Source organism: Homo sapiens, chromosome 14, assembly GCF_000001405.40.
Source record: "Homo sapiens chromosome 14, GRCh38.p14 Primary Assembly".
In the NCBI taxonomy this organism is placed as follows: domain Eukaryota; kingdom Metazoa; phylum Chordata; class Mammalia; order Primates; family Hominidae; genus Homo; species Homo sapiens.
Window position 1 is genome coordinate 30,873,827 of NC_000014.9, and position 21,817 is coordinate 30,895,643.

Below are 21,817 nucleotides of genomic sequence, written 5' to 3' on the forward strand. Positions count from 1 at the left end.
GCAGTCACAAGACACCAAGTCTGGGAATTTCGAAAGGCAATCAGGCATAAATTCTTCCTGAGGTGAGAAAGAAGCAAAGGTACCGGCTGCTGGGGTCAGGGCTGTCTCACACGCGTGGCTCTAGGCAGGAGCACAAATTGAACCACTGGGGAAAGTAGGACTCCAGCAGAAACGAAGGCGCAAGGCCGAATCCCTAAGGTCCAACGAGCTAGCAGTCAGTTGACAGGGTTTCTAACAAAAACGCGGCATGCGTTTACCAAACCTAGGGTGGTTTTATTTCAGAAGTAGGAACTCTTTCCACGAGAGCACCAAGTTGAGAAGTTCGGTTCTCAGGCCGCGTGGACCTGACAGCTCTCAGAAGCTCCAGGCCTCGCTGGGTGGGGCGGGTAGCGGCCGCCGCTGCCTCAGCAGCCCTGGTCCCGGCAGAGCAGGGCTGGCGAGGCCGCTGCTGCCGCCGTCGGGGCCGCCGGCCCTCCACACTCGTTGAGACGCCGGCACGGGGACCTTCGTGCCCCTCTAGGGACTGGCGCCGCGTCCAGGTGGCCGAGCCTGCGCTGCTGGAGGAGGCGCCTCCGCGCCGGCCTCACCCCGGGGCCGGCAGGGGGCGAAGGCGGAGCTGGAAGTCGCCGCCGGGCCCCGGGGGACCGGCTCCCGCGCTTCCTCCCGCGCCCCCCGCACAGTGCTCATGCGCACGGCCCAGCCTTTATAGCGGCCGCGGGGGCCTTGCCTTCCGCACTCGGGCGCAGCCGGGTGGATCTCGAGCAGGTGCGGAGCCCCGGGCGGCGGGCGCGGGTGCGAGGGATCCCTGACGCCTCTGTCCCTGTTTCTTTGTCGCTCCCAGCCTGTCTGTCGTCGTTTTGGCGCCCCCGCCTCCCCGCGGTGCGGGGTTGCACACCGATCCTGGGCTTCGCTCGATTTGCCGCCGAGGCGCCTCCCAGACCTAGAGGGGCGCTGGCCTGGAGCAGCGGGTCGTCTGTGTCCTCTCTCCTCTGCGCCGCGCCCGGGGATCCGAAGGGTGCGGGGCTCTGAGGAGGTGACGCGCGGGGCCTCCCGCACCCTGGCCTTGCCCGCATTCTCCCTCTCTCCCAGGTGTGAGCAGCCTATCAGTCACCATGTCCGCAGCCTGGATCCCGGCTCTCGGCCTCGGTGGGTGCGCGCCCCTCACGACCCCGGCCCCTTGCTCCGCTGGGTGGAGGCTGGAGCCAGCCCTCACGCTTCTCTCTTCGCAGGTGTGTGTCTGCTGCTGCTGCCGGGGCCCGCGGGCAGCGAGGGAGCCGGTGAGTGGGGGAGCTGGGGTGCGTCCAGGCGGTCGCAGGGGCTGAGCACCAGCGGGTACAAGCGGGACTCAGATCCAGCCCCTTGGGCTTCAGCCCTACCGCCTGAGGAGGAAGGCGCGAAGGTTGAGCCGCCGCGTGGCGCGCCCGCGTTAACCCCTGCAGCCGATCTGCTCCTGCTCACCTGTTTCTCCCATGGTAGGGGGCCCCTGGGGTCCAGTGGGGGGACGTTCTCCAAGAGCACTAGGAAGAAGGCCTCCTCCAGGCCCACCCACAGCCCCAGACCCCGGGCCCGCTGAGCGCCGGCAGCAGGAGGTCGAGGAAGGAGGACTCCTTGAGCCTCACCGAGGAGCGCACCAGTCCTGGGCTCTGCTGCGTTTGGGGGTGGAGGAGAAGCCGCCCAGACCCGACTTCAGGTTGCCGTAGCCGAGAGAGAGGGAGGCGAACGTCGCTGTCCCACCTTGTTTGACTCGCTAGCTATGTTTCTAGGTGTAACCCCTATAATCAGAAGCACTCGCGGTCTCACTCTACACGCTAGAGAGTTTAAAAAGTTTGTACCACGTGTAGAGGTCCGGGTATGGGTGTGTGGTTTGGTGTATTTTCCAGTGTAAAAGGCAACGCTTTCCTAAGAGCTACCGTTTGTTTTCCTTGAAAGTAGGAATGAGGGTTAAGTATCCCTCATGGCTGTATTTCTCCCGCTCTACTTAACAAAAGTCAGTGTTCGCAACTAAAGGCGGTCGGTCTTGGCACCGGATTCCGATGCCGCCCCCATCTCAGCGGAAAATGGGAGGAAGGATTAAGGCTGTTTGATGATAGGTATGAGGCTGTTTAGGGGTAAGGATTTTAACCTCTCAGCTCTCTAGACTGCTTCAGAGCTAAGAAATGGGCATTGCGCCTGCATCCTTCCTTCTCTTCCATGGAATGTAAGGTACCTGTCACCACAAAGGGCACAGAGGAGGGTGCTTGTCACAGGCAAGGTACTCAGTTGGACAGTATGGCCAGAAAGTATTCCTCTGCCTTGGAAAAAAAAGGTTTTTAAAATTAATATATGTTTTAAAAAGGTTTGGATAACTACAACTTCCCATGTTTGAAAAATAGCATTTAATAACATTAATCTCAATTTAGTATCGACAGTAAATTCACAAATTAACATGTTGTATTATGTTATCTTGTTACTTGTTGCCAAGAGCTTGTCTCTTCCTAGCATCATTTATAGTAAAAACTGATTCTTTGTTAGGTTGACAGTGTAAAACTTGAGAATATTAACAGTGCTTTCTAAAAATGCATCCGCTGCTTGATAAATCTCACTGGACAGATCTGGAGCAGAAATAATCAGGTTCAATTAAGATAAAAATGCTGTATTCTGAAGGGATTCACTTTTCTGTTTTCTGTCCTTCGGGAGTTGTAGAATGTTGTTTGGGCAAATTAACCCCACGGCTTTAATTTTCTCATCTATAAAATGAACAATCAAGTTAGATAACTTTCTGTGAATCTAAGCATCTTTTTGTTGGCTTCCTTAATGTGTGAGTTTAAGGATCTGCATTTGTAGGCTAACTAGGATAAATGGTCCTATGAAGGAAAGGATGGCTTTGATTTGTGCACATGTCTATGAAAATGTTCCACAAAGGCTCAATCCAGATTTACTATCTTTACCTCAAGCAACTGTGTACATAGCGTCATCAAAGTTGAGATTTAAAAATTTTTTTTTTTCTTCTGGAGACAAGATCTTATTCTGTAACCCAGGATGGAGTGCAGTGATGCAATCATAGCTCATTGCAAGCTTGAACTCCCGGGCTCAAGCAATCCTCCCACCTCAGCCTCTCCAGTGGCGGAGAGTACAGGCATGCACCACCACGTGTGGCCATTTAAAAAAAATTTTTTTTTTTTAGAAGAGATGAGGTCTTGCTATGTTGTCCAGACTGGTCTTGACCTCCTGGACTCAAGCAAATCCTCTTGTCTTGGCCTGCTAAAGTGCTGGGATTATAGGCATGAGTCACCACGCCCAGCCAAGATTTTTTATATTTCTATAATTAATATTAAATGACTTTTATTTTCTAGTTCAGATATAGTTCCAATTATGTATTTCCAACCTGGTTAAGAACTGAGAAGCCAGGCACAGTGGCACACCTGTAATCCCAGCTACTAGGGAGTTGGAGGTGGATCACTTGAGCTCGGGAATTTGAGCCTAGCTTGGGCAACTTGGCGAGTCCCCATTTCAAAAACAAAAACGAAATAAAAACCCAGAACTTTCACATTAGAGTTTTATAGTGGCTGGGGACTATATTAAATTGGAAAACAACCTTGTGGCTTGCCAAAATCTGGAATGGTATGGAAGGGTATATAAGTCAATAGTCATAACTAGAAGTGTAGAAATTAGGGAAGTAAAACTTAAATCTCACACTGTAGTCTCCCCACCACTATGCCCCAAGAAGTCCTAAGAATGCTTACAATATTATCTCCTTTTTCTTCAGCTCCCATTGCTATCACATGTTTTACCAGAGGCTTGGACATCAGGAAAGAGAAAGCAGATGTCCTCTGCCCAGGGGGCTGCCCTCTTGAGGAATTCTCTGTGTATGGGAACATAGTATATGCTTCTGTATCGAGCATATGTGGGGCTGCTGTCCACAGGTAAGCCCAAACACACCAGGGTGGGAGAGAAATGCAGACGTGATTATTTCCTTTCCTGCTTTACCCATCTGGATCCCTTTCCTCCCTGCATTCTTTCTTTTGTTGCCATTGTGGCCACAGAAAATGGATATATTTTCACGGTTCTCCTGGATATACTTGAAACACCAAATACACATGGAAAGCTTTCTGACAAAAGGCAAATAGCATTACCTCTTGATGGCTAGATTGCTATGATTCCAAAACATTCCTAATCATGTGATATATTACTGAGTTATTACTATGTGCCACCTATTGTTTTAACTTCCACCACAACTCTACAAGGTAGGTAGAATTTTACTCCAGTTACAGATGAAGAAACTGAACTCAGAGAGTTGTCAAGTATCTTGCCCAAGGTGACTATTGTTAGCAAGTGCCATGCTATCCTGTAGTAGAATAGCCAGTATAATACTTCTAAAAAAATTCAGTCCAAAGGCATGTAGCTAAAGTGAGTATCTTAGGAAAATTGTTTGGTGCTCTGAATTTCTAAGTTGTGGGTAATGGGATATTACAAATGTGTTCTTATCAACACTTAAGAAGTTCAACAGCACAAAACCATTTTTTTCCAGGCAAATTTTGTTCTTGTGTAAGCAAGTTTTTAAAAGGCTAGCAGCAGCTGGGAGTGGTGGCTCACACCTGTAATCCCACCACTTTGGGAGGCTGAGGCGGATGGACCACTTGAGGTCAGGAGTTCGAGACCTAGCCAACATGGTGAAACCCTGTCTCTACTAAAAATACAAAAATTAGCCAGGTATGGTGGTGCATGCCTGTAATCCCAGCTACTTGGGAGGCTGAGGCAGGAGAATCACTTGAATCCTGGAGGTGGAGGTTGCAGTGAGCCGAGATCGCGCCACTGCACTCCATCCTGGGCTACAGAGCGAGACGCCATCAAATAAATAAATAAATAAAGCAGAATCTTTAGATGACTTCCCTGATGAGCTATTTTCTTGATTAATCAAAGCAATAGATACAACATGGCACTATAAGTCAGTGGGATGCCCTGAAAAAGTGTGGATAGCATCTCAGCTGCTATTCTTGTGTTACAGGGGAGTAATCAGCAACTCAGGGGGACCTGTACGAGTCTATAGCCTACCTGGTCGAGAAAACTATTCCTCAGTAGATGCCAATGGCATCCAGTCTCAAATGCTTTCTAGATGGTCTGCTTCTTTCACAGTAACTAGTAGGTATAATTATTGTTCTCATTCTGTAATATTCTCCCACCCCCCAAACGTTTTCTGCTTTTTTTAGCTCAGCCTCTTTAACCTTGATGGAAAAACCTGTGATCAAGACTAAAGCTGACCTATAGAGGTAAACTGTAGGTTAGACTGAGGGGTCAAGTACCCACTGAAGCCAAATTTGGGTGAATAGAAGACAATCTTACTGACAGATGATGGCAATAGAAACTTGAATTATTTGCAGTCAGAATGCCCGGACACTTACCAAGGAACTGAAAAACTACTAAATACATTTTTGATGATCCTTTGAAGATATAATGGATAAGCATTTTGGTTCTCTGAAACTAGCATGCAGCAGGATGTTTGTAACTACAATCACCATTACCCTATTACATTTGTCATTGTAGAGAGCTCTAAATTAGATTCATAATACTTTGGTAAAGAAGGAAAAGGAAAAAAATAAGCTTATTTTTATTTTAACAGAAGGCAAAAGTAGTACACAGGAGGCCACAGGACAAGCAGTGTCCACAGCACATCCACCAACAGGTATGAACTATGAAACCTATCTCCTAGTTGCCCGGCACAGCATTTGGAAGTTATGAATAAACGTGTTGTTGGTAGAAGCTTTTCTTAAAGAAATTTGATATTAAAGAGAAACAAAGCAAATACCTTAAGTTTACTGGTATATTACATATGGAAACATTCATTATGTGTATATTTTAAAGACAGGGTCTCACTCTGTTGCTCAGGCTGGAGTACAGTGGTGCAATCATAGCTCACTGCAGCCTTAACCTCCTAGGCTCAAGCAATCTTCTCACCTTGGCCTCCTGAGTAGGTGGTACTACAGGCACATGCCACCACACCCAGCCAATTTTTTTGATTTTTAATTTTTTTTATTTTTATTTTTTTAGACAGGTCTAGCTATGATGCCCAGGCTGGTTTTGAACTCCTGACCTCAGGCAGTCCTCCCACTTCAGCCTCCCAAAGTTCAGGGATTACAGGCATGAGCCACTGCACCCAGCCTAATAATTCTCTAAAAGTCCTATTTTCTCCCAGATTTGATAAACCACGCCTAAGAACTGGTCAAAGTACCATGAACTTCTAGTTCCATTTGCTTCATTAAATTCCTTTAATTACTGCACTGTCATGTGACTAAAAGGAATGTGTGTCTATTGTAAGAAATAGCCAGGGATCCCCTTTTGTATGACGATGGCAGTTTTAAAGTCAAAGATATTAAGAACATTAGGATTTAATGTTGAGTTCCTGCCTCACCTGTGGGTTTGGGGTATTAAAGTCCTGGATTAGGGCATATCAAATATGTAGGCCTACATACTGATTTGTTTATTTGTTGGGTCATTGCTTTCCCTAGTCCAGAAAATCCTGAGGAAATTAATTTTTTTAAAAAAGTCCTTTCAAGAATGGCACTCTGTTGTTATGAGCTTCTCCCCATGTGGGTTTCTTGCTATGTAACTGTCTTCCTTTTGTTAATGCCAAGTGCATCTTTTATTTCAGGTAAACGACTAAAGAAAACACCCGAGAAGAAAACTGGCAATAAAGGTAAGAATCAAGATCTCCATTTGGGAAGGTAGCATTTTCCCTCCCTCCTCTTGAGACTGCTAATGAGGGGACTGGTTTGGTTGTTCGCAGATTGTAAAGCAGACATTGCATTTCTGATTGATGGAAGCTTTAATATTGGGCAGCGCCGATTTAATTTACAGAAGAATTTTGTTGGAAAAGTGGCTCTAATGTTGGGAATTGGAACAGAAGGACCACATGTGGGCCTTGTTCAAGCCAGGTACCAACCTTGTTAAAATGGGAGATTTAAAAAAAAAATTATTTTGTAATTGACACATAATAATTATATATACTTATGGGGTACATAGTGATGTTTTCATACATACAATGTATAGTGGTCAAATCAGAGTAATTAGCATATCCATCACCTCAAACATTGATCATTTCTTTGTGTTGGATACATTCAAAATCAAATGAGGCCGGGTGCAGTGGCTCACGCCTGTAATTCCAGCACTTTGGAGGCCAAGTGGGTGTGTGGATCACCTGAGGTCAGGAGTTCAAAACCAGTCTGGCCAACATGTGAAACACCGTCTCTACTAAAAATACAAAAATTAGCCAGATGTGGTGGCATGCACCTGTAATCCTAGCTACTTGGGAGGCTGAGGCAGGAGAATCACTTGGACTCGGGAGGCAGAGGTTACAATGAGCCGAGATTGCACCACTGCACTCCAGCCTGGGCAACAGTGAGACTATGTCTCAAAAAAAAAAAAAAAAAAGAAAAAAATCAAATGAGAGGAGATTTGAATGAGTCTTGAATGATGACAAATGATCAGTTCTTTTAGTGGGTACATGTCAGTTCAGTATAAACATTTGAGTTATGGACACACTGGGTTCCCAAACTGTAAGTTCAGGATCTAAGACTGCCTGGGCAGACTGAGTAGATCTGAGTGCCTCCTTTTTGGAATAAAAGAATTTAGAAAACTGTGTGCTATCTATATAAGAACCAGAAGGTAGACTGGAGAGTCCTGTTGCTTACACAAGTCACCTCTGCTTATCTACTCTGCTCAATTCCTAATTTCTCTCTTCTGAAGGAAGAAGCAGTGATATGTCTATTCCACCTCCCTATTCTGTTATTCTTTTTAGCTCTTTCCATATTCTCTTGGTTGGTGATCTGAAGCACGACCTTTCTATTTTATTCATTTAAAAATATTTATTAATTGCTGGCCAGGTGCGGTGGCTCACGCCTGTAATCCCAGCACTTTGGGAGGCCGAGGCGGATGGATCACGGGGTCAGGAGATTGAGACCATCCTGGCTAACACGGGGAAACCCCGTCTCTACTAAAAATACAAAAAAAAAAAATTAGCCGGGCGTGGTGGCAGGCGCCTGTAGTCCCAGCTACTCGGGAGGCTGAGGCAGGAGAATGGCGTGAACCCAGGAGGTGGAGCTTGCAGTGAGCCAAGATCGTGCCACTGCACTCCAGCCTGGGCAACAGAGCAAGACTCTGTTTCAAAAAATAAAAATAAAAATAAATAAATAAATAAATATTTATTTATTAATTGCTTTTAGAAATAGAATATGCTCATTATAGAAAGCTTGAAAATACATAGAGCACAAAAAAAGAAATGCTCTAAATCATATGCCCTAGAGATAATCACTATAAAATGGTTTTTTTTTTTTTTTTTTTTTTTTTTTGAGACGGAGTTTTGCTCTGTCACCGAGGCTGGAATGCAATGGCACGATCTTTGTTCACTACAACCTCTGCCTCCTGGATTTAAGTGATTCTCCTGCCTCAGCCTCCTGAGTAGCTGGGATCACAGGTGTGCACTACTACGCCTGGCTAATTTTTGTATTTTTAGTAGAGACAAGGTTTCACCATGTTGGCCAGCCTGGTCTCGAGCTCCTGACCTCAGGTGATCCACCTGCCTCGGACTCCCAAAGTGCTAGGATTACAGGTGTGAGCTACCACGCCTGGCCCCTTCAGTATTTTAAGGAAATATTTGACTGTATTATTTTTTAAAAACTCAGACTATTAAAAATGCCCTGCATCCTGTTTTTTTCATCCTTTAGTATTTTTAGCATTTTCTCATATCACAAATATTCATCAAAAATATTTCATAATATTCCGCTGCATGATTAGTCATTCTTATTATTTCTTCACTACATTACACACTACACTGTGATGAACATCCTTATATCATCTTTGTGCCCATCTCTGATTATTTCATCAGGTTAGATTTCTAAAAGTGAGGTTCTGACTTAAAGCCTCTGATATAAATAGTGAAATTGAGCCATGCACAGTGGCTCATGCCTGTAGTGCCAGCTGCTCAGGAGGCTGAGGTGTGAGGATCTCTCAAGCCCAGGAGTTCAAAGCTGCAGTGAGCTATGATGGCACCACTCTACTCCAGCCTGGACAACAGAGAAAGACCCCATCTCTAAAAAAACAAATAAATAGCGAAATTGCTTCCTAGAAAGGTGAAGTAGTTTAAACTACTATCAGCAGTGTGTAAGGTTGTATAAACAGTGCTATTACAAATATTAATTTCCATTTCATTTCTGTTATTTTTTACAAGTGGCTCTGCTCTTAGATTAGATAGAATTTTTTTGGCATGAGAAGAAAATTTAACTGTTTTAACATAATTTAACCATTTGTCTCTCACCCTTAAAAAAAATGTGTTCCTTGTTTCATTGACTTATGGTATCACATTTATACCTGAGTTTGAGCAAGTCTATTTCTTTGATTCATATGCTAATCCTTACATATTTTTTTCTACGCTGCTTTGATTATCACAGTTTTATTGCACATTTTAACATCCCATGAGGCAAATTCCCCTGCAGTACTTTTTGTCTTGTACTTTTTTCTGACTACTTTGACCCAATTCTTTTTGAAGATGAATTCTTCATTACCTTGTAGACTCATACAAAGTTTTGTAGTTTTTCTGTTTTAGAAAGACCATTAGAATAGGTAAACCATGTCAAGTTTATATGTATGTAAGTCAAAGAACAGAATATATCAAGGATACAAAAATGAGACTAATTTCATAAGTCATAATCTGGATAGTTGAAAAGTGACCACAAGTGAAAAGGTTTTCAACCCATGAAATCTGATTTTATGACCCAATATTCCATCAGGTATGTATGCAGAAATACAGTCAGTGTTCTACTTCTCCCTCAAAAAATCTTGAATAAAATGGCTACTGATAATGCTAAGATCTTAAATTTTGCACTAGGAAATACTGACTCATCTAGAAACTAAACACAACAGATTGTGCTGTGGTTGTTTATACTCAAAACGGTCTCTGCTGAACACAGAGTAGTTATATAAAAGTGAGCTGAAATTCCTTTAATATTAAATATAGGAAATGAGATCTCAAAACTCTTACAATACACATAATTTTAAGGTGCACAAATGTCATTGTCATTATAAGAAAAACTCAATATTGTAACTTTATAATTCATTTCACCTTTGTCCCTTTAAAAAAATGTTGACGGTCACATCAATGAAATTGTTTCTCCTGAACAGAGAGCTCTGAGTTAATAGATCCACACTACTTAGAGCCTCTGGGGTCCCACACTGGAACAGACCCTAGTCTCATACCCAGCCACTTCCTCATTTAGTTTAGCTACCTGGTGCCCAACTCTGCGGACTTCTGTTAAACCCGAGGCTCTGAGCCAAGCCCGATTTCAAGTTCTCCGTATAGTTTAGGCATGGACTTTGCAGCCAGACAACTTGAACTTAAAATGCAGCTGTGTTTCATCAGGCAAACTCCCTAAATGCTCTGAGACTCAGTTTCTTCATTTACATAATTGGGATAATTCCAACCTTATAGAGCTATGATGAAATGAGGTTTTACATGTGTTATGCTTTTGGCTTATTACCCAGAATATAATAAATCCTCAATATGGCAATTATTTGTTACACCTCTGAAATATCTCCAATAATTCAAGTAAGGATGCAATGCCTCAGTTGACTATGTACTATGGAATTAAGAAAGAAACTTGTGTGTTGTCTGGTTTTAAAACTGTTTTTTAAGGCATGTAATGTTGCTTATTTTACCTTTTTAATTCTCCCTGAATAACATTTTCTTTCTTCCACTCAGTGAACATCCCAAAATAGAATTTTACTTGAAAAACTTTACATCAGCCAAAGATGTTTTGTTTGCCATAAAGGAAGTAGGTTTCAGAGGGGGTAATTCCAATACAGGTAAGTAGACTTTGATACCTGGGATGTAACATAGGAGAGGGTTATCAGTGATCAGACATGTAAAACAGTATTATGCTATTTTATATGAGCAGATGTGAAATCCTCCTGGAACTGAAATCTTGGCTAGGTCTGCATTTGATCATCTGAGATAAATTTTCAATTTATAATGGAAGTATACCAAAGTGTTGATATTTCTTATTTTAAAAAATATAAAGCATGGTGATTTAGAATTCTCATACATTGGATTGACTAGATATAACATTGGAGAAGTATCTCTTTGTAATGCTAAAAAGAAGTGAAAATCAACAGACTTATCTAATGAATGCAGATGTGGCAGAAAGAATGAGTAGCACTACCGTTGACTCTGAAGAGAGACTTCTTAGAGGTACTAATCAGTCACCAAAGGGCTACATAGAGAGCACATGCATGGAAGTGGGAATCAGTTTTGTGTTTCTAACTGGCGATTGATGTGGGGTAAACAAATGTGAGGCTTCTAGGAGGTGGAGGGGGAACTAATATGGCTTGTGAAGATAAATAGGCCTGGTAGATAATTAAACTTTCCCAGCTGATGCATCTGTTACAGAACTGGGTTCTATATAATTCTTTTTTGTGTGCCCCGCCCCACTGCCAGTTCTATATATAATTCTTAAACTTTGCAGCATCAAATGCTACAGGGAAACAGAAATGTGGTTTGAGCAGTGGTAAAGGCTATTTGTTTGCTTCTTTTTCAAATTTAGGAAAAGCCTTGAAGCATACTGCTCAGAAATTCTTCACGGTAGATGCTGGAGTAAGAAAAGGGATCCCCAAAGTGGTGGTGGTATTTATTGATGGTTGGCCTTCTGATGACATCGAGGAAGCAGGCATTGTGGCCAGAGAGTTTGGTGTCAATGTATTTATAGTTTCTGTGGCCAAGCCTATCCCTGAAGAACTGGGGATGGTTCAGGATGTCACATTTGTTGACAAGGTAAAGTGGTGAGGGTTATCTTCTGTTACAGTGATGGGTATTCCATTTTGGACCTCTAAGTGCAGTGCTGACTGCCTCTTATCTAGATTAACTTGAAACATTCAGGATTTTCCAGTTTTTAAGAAGAAACAACTTTTGATCCTTTTGGATATCTTTTATGTGTCTCCCCCATTAGGCTGTCTGTCGGAATAATGGCTTCTTCTCTTACCACATGCCCAACTGGTTTGGCACCACAAAATACGTAAAGCCTCTGGTACAGAAGCTGTGCACTCATGAACAAATGATGTGCAGCAAGACCTGTTATAACTCAGTGAACATTGCCTTTCTAATTGATGGCTCCAGCAGTGTTGGAGATAGCAATTTCCGCCTCATGCTTGAATTTGTTTCCAACATAGCCAAGACTTTTGAAATCTCGGACATTGGTGCCAAGATAGCTGCTGTACAGTTTACTTATGATCAGCGCACGGAGTTCAGTTTCACTGACTATAGCACCAAAGAGAATGTCCTAGCTGTCATCAGAAACATCCGCTATATGAGTGGTGGAACAGCTACTGGTGATGCCATTTCCTTCACTGTTAGAAATGTGTTTGGCCCTATAAGGGAGAGCCCCAACAAGAACTTCCTAGTAATTGTCACAGATGGGCAGTCCTATGATGATGTCCAAGGCCCTGCAGCTGCTGCACATGATGCAGGTAAGGTCCTTGTTCTTTATAGGAGAAGGGAACAGAAAAAACGGTTCAGTGAATTTAGGAGTAAATAAAAATTTAAGCATTTATTTCATTAAACAAACACCTGTGGCTTTACCCAATATTAACTGTTAAAGCAGCCCTACTCATCTCATTCTACAGATAAGGAAGCAAACTTCCTGGAAATGACATTTCTAGTAAGTGGCAAGGCCAAGATCCAAACCCAGGCATTCTGGCTCCAGAGTGCACATTCCTAACCACTGTATTGTTGGGAGAATTGCCATGAGAACCATGTCACATTAAGGAAATATGCTTATACATATACAATTAAGGTGCTCATATTTAGCTCAAACTTGGACTATATCTCCAAATAGCCAGCTTATAACCTACCATGAATCTGCCATTCAGTAATTTATCCTAACTTTCTTGTGTATGAAACAGGTAATTGCTCTGTCACCAGGCTGGAGTGCAGTGGCATGTAGTGAGCTACAACCTCCAACTATTGGGCTCAAGCAATCCTCCTGTGTCAGCCTTCCAAATAGCTAGGACGACAGGCACATGCCACTGCCCCTGGCTAATTTTTAAATTTTTTTGGGGAGAGACGGGGGTCTCACTTTGTTGCCCAGGCTGATCTCAAACTCCTGGGCTCAAGCAATCCTCACACCTTGGCCTCCCAAAGTGCTGGGATTACAGGCATAAGCCACCACACCCAACCCTAACTTTTATTTTAGTCAAGTTTTGTCTGGCATGAGTTTCCTAAGATAAGGTCTCCCATAGACTTTACCTATCCCATCAAAATTTCCTTGGCCAGGTGCAGTGGCTCACATCTGTAATTCAGCACTTTGGGAGGCTGAGGTGGGCGGGATCACCTGAGGTCAGGAGTTCAAGACCAGCCGGGCCAACATGGTAAAACCCAGTCTCTATTAAAAATACAAAAATTAGCTGGGTGTGGTAACATACACCTGTAATCCCAGCTACTCAGGAGGCTGAGGCACGAGAATCACTTGAACCCAGGAGGCAGAGGTTGCAATGAACTGAGATCGTGCCATTGTACTCCAGCCTGGGCGACAGAGTGAGACTCTGTCTCAAAAAGAAAAAAAAAAAAAAAAAAAAACTTTTTCCCCCCCGCTTAAGATAATAAAAACACACTCTGGTGTTATAAAAGGGTATAAGAAGGGTTTCTTTCTTCCTCACCCCAGCCTTAATATTACTTTTGGCACAGGCCTCGTTCCTGAAGACATTAACGTAATGTGTTAGAGATCAAATAGGCCAACAAAAAGCTAAGATTCCCTTTCTGAGGATATAACTGAGTGACAGGAGGGAAGAATCAATGGACTTGTTTTTTTTAACACTCTTCTGTACCTCATTTTCCCTACTTAATTCCTAATGACATAACCTTTTTCCTTTCTACACATTAGTACCTCTGCCAATGTACTCACATATTTTTACAGATACTGATGAAAGATTATTCTTAAAACAGAGAACACATGCAATTTAAGTTCCACATCTAGCTTGTAAAAAGTATTTTTTATACATCAGCAACTAGCCTGTGAAGTAAAGACCTGTTTACTATCATATTCCTTAATACTTAGCTTACTGAACTTATAGTTAACAGGATTGTATTCAGGCTATAAAGTGATTAGGTTGATTAAAGTTCAGGAGGCTGGACTACACCAATATTGATTCGTGAAAATTATCCCTTAGTGATATTGAAAGTTGCAAAAGCCAGAAAATAGGGTAGGATTTTAGGGGTAGATCACAACAGTTTTTATTTATTTTCAGGGTCTTGCTCTGTCACCCAGGCTGGAGTACAGTGGTGTGATTATTTTTTTTTTTAACTGTAATTATATGCTGGGCTTGAGCTAAACAATCTGAACTAGAATGTAGAACTGAAAAGAAGTGAGGAAAACTGAGGGGGAGGAAAAAAATATTTTGACTTTTTTTTTTTTTAACCAGGGAGTGAGAGTCAGGAAAAGGAGACTGGAACAATTGGACATTGTTCCAAGTAGCTTTTACATCATCTAAACCTGCTGCATATCTTAGGTATTTACCACTCTGAGCACTGTATACCACTAGAAGGGGAATGAAACCTTAGATCTGTAGAGGAAAACTATTACAGAAACTCCAAAAGTTATAGAAAATTGCACCCAGCATTAGATAGATGGTACTCTACACTAAGAATCTGCTAAATGAGGCCAGGTGTGGTGGCTTATGCCTGTAATCCCAGCACTTTGGGAGGCCGAGGCAGATGGATCGCTTGAGCCCTGGAGTTCGAGATGAGACCAGCCTGAACAACATGGTGAAACCCCATCTCTACAAAGAAATTTAAAAATTAGCTGGGCTTAGTGGCATGCGCTTGTAGTCCCAGCTATTTGAGGATGGGGGTGCTGAGGAGGATAGTTTGAGCCCAGGAAGTTGAGGCTGCAGTGAGCCTTGATTGTACCACTGCACTCCAGCATGGGCAAAAGAGCCAGACCCTGTCTGAGAAAAAAAAAAAAAAAAGATTAAATGAAAACTTCTACAATTGGGATTGGGGTGAATCCAACTAATGTATTATTACCCTAAATGTACAGTTGTACTAAAAGCCTTCTAGTAACTAAAGTGAATGGAAATAGAATACCTCAATGAAACTGGAAGAAATTACTCCAGTTTCATAAGATCCCTCTTGGGCAGTACTTTTTAGTCACTAGTTTTGCTTTGGGATTATAGGCTGACATTTTCTGATTATTAGACAGTTTGCCAATATAAAGATTGAAATGGAAGAGGATTTTTCATTATCAGAGGACTAGTCACCATTCCTCAAACAATGCAACCTTTGAACACTTTTGCTATTTACTTATCCCATCTCTTGTGCCATTCTTCCTTGCTTTAATGGATTGTGACTCTGACTCCAGTATACTGTTTGATGCAGGCCAACCTCATACGGAAAATTTTCACCATCCGCATTTACTGTAGGATTTTAAAAAAGATACTGTGGATCAGGTTAAAAGTCTTCTTCTATTCCTAGTTTATAGGTGTGTTCTGTCATTAATGGATATTGAACTTTATCAAATTATTTCTTATCAGTGATGACTTACCTGTTAATGTGGCGAATTACAGATATAGCAGAGTTTCTGGTTTGGACCACTCTTTTGCCACTCTCGTCACAATGACTGTGAAAACTTAATTTGTTCAGGGGATTTAATTGTCCAGAAATTAGTAAGCAGTTTTCGCTGCAACTATGTAACAGTGTATGGAAAACATATAGACATAATTCCATATATTAGCTAGACCTGATTTTCAATTCACTTTAAAATGTTTTCATTGTAGGAATCACTATCTTCTCTGTTGGTGTGGCTTGGGCACCTCTGGATGACCTGAAAGATATGGCTTCTAAACCGAAGGAGTCTCATGCTTTCTTCACAAGAGAGTTCACAGGATTAGAACCAATTGTTTCTGATGTCATCAGAGGCATTTGTAGAGATTTCTTAGAATCCCAGCAATAATGGTAACATTTTGACAACTGAAAGAAAAAGTACAAGGGGATCCAGTGTGTAAATTGTATTCTCATAATACTGAAATGCTTTAGCATACTAGAATCAGATACAAAACTATTAAGTATGTCAACAGCCATTTAGGCAAATAAGCACTCCTTTAAAGCCGCTGCCTTCTGGTTACAATTTACAGTGTACTTTGTTAAAAACACTGCTGAGGCTTCATAATCATGGCTCTTAGAAACTCAGGAAAGAGGAGATAATGTGGATTAAAACCTTAAGAGTTCTAACCATGCCTACTAAATGTACAGATATGCAAATTCCATAGCTCAATAAAAGAATCTGATACTTAGACCAAAAGCAACATTCGTTCTCTAACCATTCTGTATTGATTATATAAGCAAAATGAAAAGAGAAACTTAAATGAACACAGCTCTTTAACATGGTTCAGGTACACATATTTTGACCCAAGTGGATATTTTCTTAAAACCAATCAATAATAGCTAGCTATTACTGCAGACTATAAAATCTGGATATAGAAAGGAGACCTGTATCAAACTGCTTTTGTAGTGTGTTTTCATAACAACTTATGACTAAAAATATCACACTGAATAAGAGAGCAGGATTGCCAGGTATTTTTCTATTTCTCTCCTTAATTTTATATGTATATAGATATATTTGGCTTATATTCTAAGTCACCTAAGTACTTAAAAGTTAAGTTGGTAAAGTATTTACTGACTGCTTATAAACATTTAAAGACAAAGACATTTCAAATAACTGCAGAAAAAATATTGTAGTTTGAATATTTAAGCAATAAAACTGCTAGTGAGTTATTGTAAGCTGGCTTACTTTTATTACTGCTAGTGTCTCCCCTGAGGATATGGTAAAAATTCATGTGGAAAGACCAATCTGAATTGTTTTTTAAATCATGTAATAATACCAAGAATATTTTTTCTTTGATTCAATTATTTATTGAGGCCAAGCACAGTGGCTCATGCCTGTAATCCCAGCACTTTGGGAGGCTGAAGCAGGAGGACTGCTTGAGGCCAAGAATTCAAGACCAGCCTGGGCAACATAGTGAGAACCCCCTCTACAAAAAAGAAAAAAAAATTAGCCGGGTGGGATGGTGCATGTCTGTAGTCTGAGCTACTTGGGAGGCTGAGGTGGGAGGACTGCTTGAGCCGAGGAGGTCAAGGCTACAGTGAGCCATGATCACACCACTGCACTCCAGCTTGGGTGACAGAGCAAGACCCTATCTCCAAAATAAAAAAAAAAATAAAAAGACACAAGTTTATCGAATACCTACTGTCCTAGGCATTATACACAGCCACTACCTGATTAAACAGTATAAGATATTTTTGAGTACTTGCTTCACCAGAAATGTTTTGTAATTGACATCATTTTTTACTTAAAAATGCTTGTGAAGTTGGTTCCTATGAAAGGAGAACATCAGGACTCCCTTAATGTGACTTAGATGATTCGCTTACCAAGGCCTCTCCCAAAAGACAGAGGTGCTCTATCATCCCACCTTGTCTGTCTTTTCTAAAGATAGGTCCTATCTCCTCCTCTCATCCACCTAAGCCCCCTGAAATGTGTTAACTGGTTAGAATAATATACTCCAGTAAATCTTCTGAGTCTTACAATTTTATACCCTGCATAAGAGGAATAAAAGGACTACATGCAGGGAGAAACAAACTGGAATTGACTTTTTCACTACATAAAAATTTGAATTTGAAAATAGAGTTTGAGAAGACAACCTCCCCTTTTATAAAATGCTTCAAACATGACTGAATCATGTAACAGGGATAATTTTAATTAAACATCATAAAAACTGGGTTTAGCATAGTATGATTTTTCCCCAGTAAGTAGACCAAAAACTCTCAGCTAGGAGTACAACCCCTTGGAAAATTAAGCTCTAATGAAAACCCAGCTACCACTCATTAGCCCTTTTAAGAAAGTGGTTTTTTCTTTAATTTTATAAAGGACCAAGTTTTGAGTCACCTGAAGTAACCAGGGAATAGCAGCAAGACAGCAGAAATCAGAACTGTAGGTTACTATCAATAATTATGTAAGTAAACATAATCAGGATAAAGGTTATTTACAGGAGACAGAGTAAAAAGGAAATACGTATTACAATCCAACTTAAGCAAACATGCTTAGATTTCAAATATGCTGGCCCATTTATAACTTAATGCATTAAATGCAATGTTAGTCTTCAACAGGTAAGTTACCTAGTTTGAAATAATGAGAAAAACAACATGAAATGAGAGGCAGAATATGATTAACTATTGAAGAAATCAACATATTAAGATTTGTATAAAGTACTATTTAATAGTGAAATTAATCTAATTTCCCATGTGTCAAATGGAAGCACACATAATGAAAATAAGACATTATTTTTGCATACCTTTAGTCTCTTCCAAATGTTTAATACTGCAGAGAAAAATACAACCAAAGGAGATAGAACAAAATAAACATATATACTAATTTTTATCCATTTCAGTTTTAATACATTCCAAAATACGTCAATGTTTATGCATTCCAATAATCATCACATTTCAGATCAATGATAATGTACTGGGTTGGAATAGGTGCTAGAAACAATTCTAGCTTTGGAAAAGCTTATTCTTTATTTCAAAAAAGAAGAAACAGAAGAGGAGAAAAGTACCCCCTTTAATTTGTCCTTTAGTTGAATGTTCAGTTCAGAAAAACAAAAAAAATGGTATTTAAAAAAAACTTGCTGGGCACGGTGGCTCACGCCTGTAATCCCAGCCAGCACTTTGGGAGGCCGAGGCGGGTGGATCACCTGAGGTGACTCAGGAGTTTGAGACCTGCCTGACCAACATGGTAAAGCCCTGTCTCTACTAAAAATACAAAATTAACCAGGTATGGTGGCGCATGCCTGTAATCCCAGCTACTTGGGAGGCTGAGGCACAAGAATCACTTGAACCTGGGAGACGGAGGTTGCAGCGTGCCGAGATCGCACCATTGCACTCCAGCCTGGGCAACAAGAGTGAAACTCCGCTCCATCTCAAAAAAAAAAAACAAAAAACTTGAAAAGTTTTAGATTTTCGTCAATGACTAAAATTGCCACTTAGATTTTTATGGTAGATGACAAAATTTCTCAGTGTACAATGTAATTTCTTCCCCCAGCAACAGCAGCAAGCATTCAAATTGAATTTCACACGTAAGTTTTCTAGTGTTCCCTTCTAATTTCATCTGCAATTCCCTTCAAAGGATATTACCTTATTGAAGAAAAGTTTCAAAATATTGTTTAACATTATAAGACAACTTTTAACTAACATGTTGGTGCAAAAGTAATTGCCATTGAAATGGCAAAAACCACAATTACAAACGGCAAAAACCACAATTTTTTTTTTTTTTTTTTTTTTTTGAGACGGAGTCTCTGTCACCCAGGCTGGAGTGCAGTGGCGTGATCTCAGCTCACTGCAAGCTCCGCCTCCCGGACTCACACCTCAGCCTCAGCCTCCCGAGTAGCTGGGACCATAGGCACCCGCCACCACGCCCGGCTAATTTTGTGTGTGTGTGTTTTTAGTAGAGACGGGGTTTCATCGTGTTAGCCAGGATGGTCTTGATCTCCTGACCTCATGATCCACCCACCTCGGCCTCCCAAAGTGCTGGGATTATAGGCCTGAGCCACCGCGCCCGGCCAAAAACCGCAATTACTTTTGCACCAACTAACCTAAATATTCAATGTAGTTTATTCCTTGCTGAATTTTTTTGTGGGAACAGGTATGGCAAATAGAACAACACTGCCATTAATTGAAATTCAGATTTAATAATGTAACAGGATGTCTAAGCAAATTACTTAAAACTGCACCTGTGCATTTCTGGGGGTTATTTTGAATTGCATAATTTAATGCAAGACTTTTTCTTAATCTTCAAGTGGGGTGAAATACTTAGACATTATTAATAGTGTTAGTGATCTACTCTTATTAGAATATCAATAAGTAGGACAAAGTTTGAAAGAACAGCATAAAAATGAAGGACTCACTAAGAAATCTCCATTTCCTAGTTTAATTATGGAGAATAAAGTATTGCACTTTATTATTCAACACAAAATGATGTAGCCAACAGTAACATACAGGTACACAATTTAATATTTATTATATGCATTTTATATACATTATTTTTCAACAGCTGTATGTTTGCTATGTGGTACAATCTTAAAAATTTGCTGATTCATAGTTTGTAAAACAAAAACCTTACAAAACTCATCAAAACTCGCAAACTGATCAGAAAAGTTTCTCGGAAGACTAGAAAAAATACTTTATTGTCTTAATCATGCATTACACAAACAAAATCTTTAGTTACACCATAAAATTAAGCACATCTAAAAAAATAAAACAGGGATAACTAGTCAAAACACAGCAGATTTCTGTATCCTGATTCAACTATTTTTGTATCCTATTTGTAATGCAAATAAAACTTTACTCCAAATATTTTTAAACAAGTTAGTTTTGTTTGGAATCATGGTAAACCAAGATATATATCTTAGGGGGAACCACCTTGGTTTGTAATTTAAACTATAAAATACTCCATTTTTAGTCTATTTTAGACTATTCAAAGAGTTCCAAAATAGATATACAGGTTCCTTTAGCACATTAATAAAAGGATATAAAGACCAACAAAAAGTGAAATAAATAATAGGCCATTAGCAAGATGGATAATCCTTGATAAATAAACTTGTAAATACAGTAAGATGTACAAAATATCACATAGTGATAGGATGCCAAGATTAGTTTTTTTCTTTAAGAGTTCATTTGGAGTACTAAACCCCACTGTTTCATTTTAATACACTTAATAGTCCTTGGTTTATGAAGACATTTATGTGATGATGAAAGTTATTTAGCATCTTTATGGAAGGACTTAGCTGAGCTGTATTAGGCAAAAGAAGGAAAGAAAGTGGTTACAGGGCAACGGGTCAGTGAGATCTCTGTGTTTTAGGGTTGTATAATGCAGAAAAACTTCAATACAATCTTGAGCACTGTTGTGACAGGCTAAATATATAAAAAGACTTATAAAAACTAGAATTTTATCCAAACATTTTGTGCAACTAATGCTAAAATATTTTAAGTTAAATTTTCTTTTTCTTTTTTTTTTTTTTTAAAGCAAAATAAGTTTAAAAGGGAATCTGTGGCATTCAACCGATAAACAGAAGATCACTAAGAGATGAAAAAAAGCTACTCTTGGAGCTCACTTCCCCCAACAAGAGCACCACATTCCTAACCCCTAAGGCAGCACACAGAGTCCAAAAAAAAAAAAAAAAAAAAAAAAAAGAAGAAGAAGAAGAGAAAAAAAAAAACTTTTTTGAAAGATCAGACTCCACATTGGCTTAAAGACACCTAAAAACAGATATACGCTCAGTTCACATCCAGTACAGGCCACAAATACTGGAGTCCTTTTTTCTTTGTCCCACAAAATACAGTAATTACAGTTAACTTAATGAGCTTGACATTAAGATGTGATTTCCACCAATTTGTGCCTGCCCCAGATAGCCTTCACCAGGCAGATCACATGTAGTGTCATATCAGTAACCTTTCTGATGGCAGTGATGCAGACCCTCTTTCTGTCCAAGCAAATCTTGTTACGATGCAAGTTTTTGTTGATTCATACAAATACTTTGGCAAGAGCATCAGCTCCTGCACTAGCTATATATGCTTTTGACGAGTGGAAAGCAACATCATAAATTGATTCATCCAATTTCTTTCTGTGAGCTGTTATTTCTTGCACACATGTCTTGCTGTCTAAATTCCATAATCTGATGGAACAGTCATGGCCTGTAAAAGAACAAATAAAATTTGTTACTGAGTAACAATCTTTTATAAAGTTTGTGGGCAGTA

General features: G+C 40.6%; 2 protein-coding genes and 1 long non-coding RNA gene across 14 annotated transcripts in view, besides 1 other annotated feature; 1 reads left to right on the top strand and 2 right to left on the bottom strand.

Moving 5' to 3' along the window:
• Positions 295-814: a silencer, noted in NCBI's record as "silent region_5649". NCBI's record gives its function as "represses an Ori minimal core promoter by ATAC-STARR-seq in GM12878 lymphoblastoid cells {active_cell/tissue: GM12878}" and the evidence as "EXISTENCE:reporter gene assay evidence [ECO:0000049][PMID:35858748]".
• Positions 733-21,789, top strand: COCH (cochlin). Of its 8 annotated transcripts, XM_047431062.1 has the most exons (14): positions 733-765; positions 1,090-1,146; positions 1,230-1,472; positions 3,746-3,902; positions 4,985-5,118; positions 5,597-5,659; positions 6,626-6,670; positions 6,761-6,908; positions 10,727-10,830; positions 11,159-11,215; positions 11,568-11,794; positions 11,970-12,486; positions 15,790-15,967; positions 21,087-21,789. In XM_047431062.1, exons 2-13 carry the CDS (start codon positions 1,113-1,115, stop codon positions 15,963-15,965), a joined length of 1,905 nt encoding a protein of 634 aa, XP_047287018.1. In that variant the 5' UTR covers positions 733-765; positions 1,090-1,112; the 3' UTR covers positions 15,966-15,967; positions 21,087-21,789. The 8 variants fall into 8 exon arrangements, with proteins under 8 accessions (XP_047287018.1, XP_047287020.1, XP_024305274.1 ...); XM_047431064.1 differs by lacking the exon at positions 11,159-11,215 and having other exon boundaries at positions 1,230-1,277; XM_024449506.1 differs by lacking the exon at positions 21,087-21,789 and having other exon boundaries at positions 1,230-1,277; positions 15,790-16,792.
• Positions 2,353-15,982, bottom strand: COCH-AS1 (COCH antisense RNA 1). The gene is made up of 5 exons (NR_038356.1): positions 15,558-15,982; positions 15,317-15,429; positions 11,587-12,500; positions 10,684-10,848; positions 2,353-2,726 (listed from the first exon to the last, which is right to left on the bottom strand). It is a non-coding gene; the product is annotated as a COCH antisense RNA 1 (long non-coding RNA).
• Positions 19,978-21,817, bottom strand: part of STRN3 (striatin 3) — a 132,576-nt gene continuing 130,736 nt past the window's right edge. For all 5 annotated transcript variants that reach the window (NM_014574.4, XM_005267569.5, XM_005267570.5 and 2 more), the window contains one exon: positions 19,978-21,754. In NM_014574.4, the coding sequence (NP_055389.3) occupies positions 21,585-21,754 (170 nt within the window). In that variant the 3' untranslated portion in view covers positions 19,978-21,584. The remainder of the gene's footprint in view (positions 21,755-21,817) is intronic.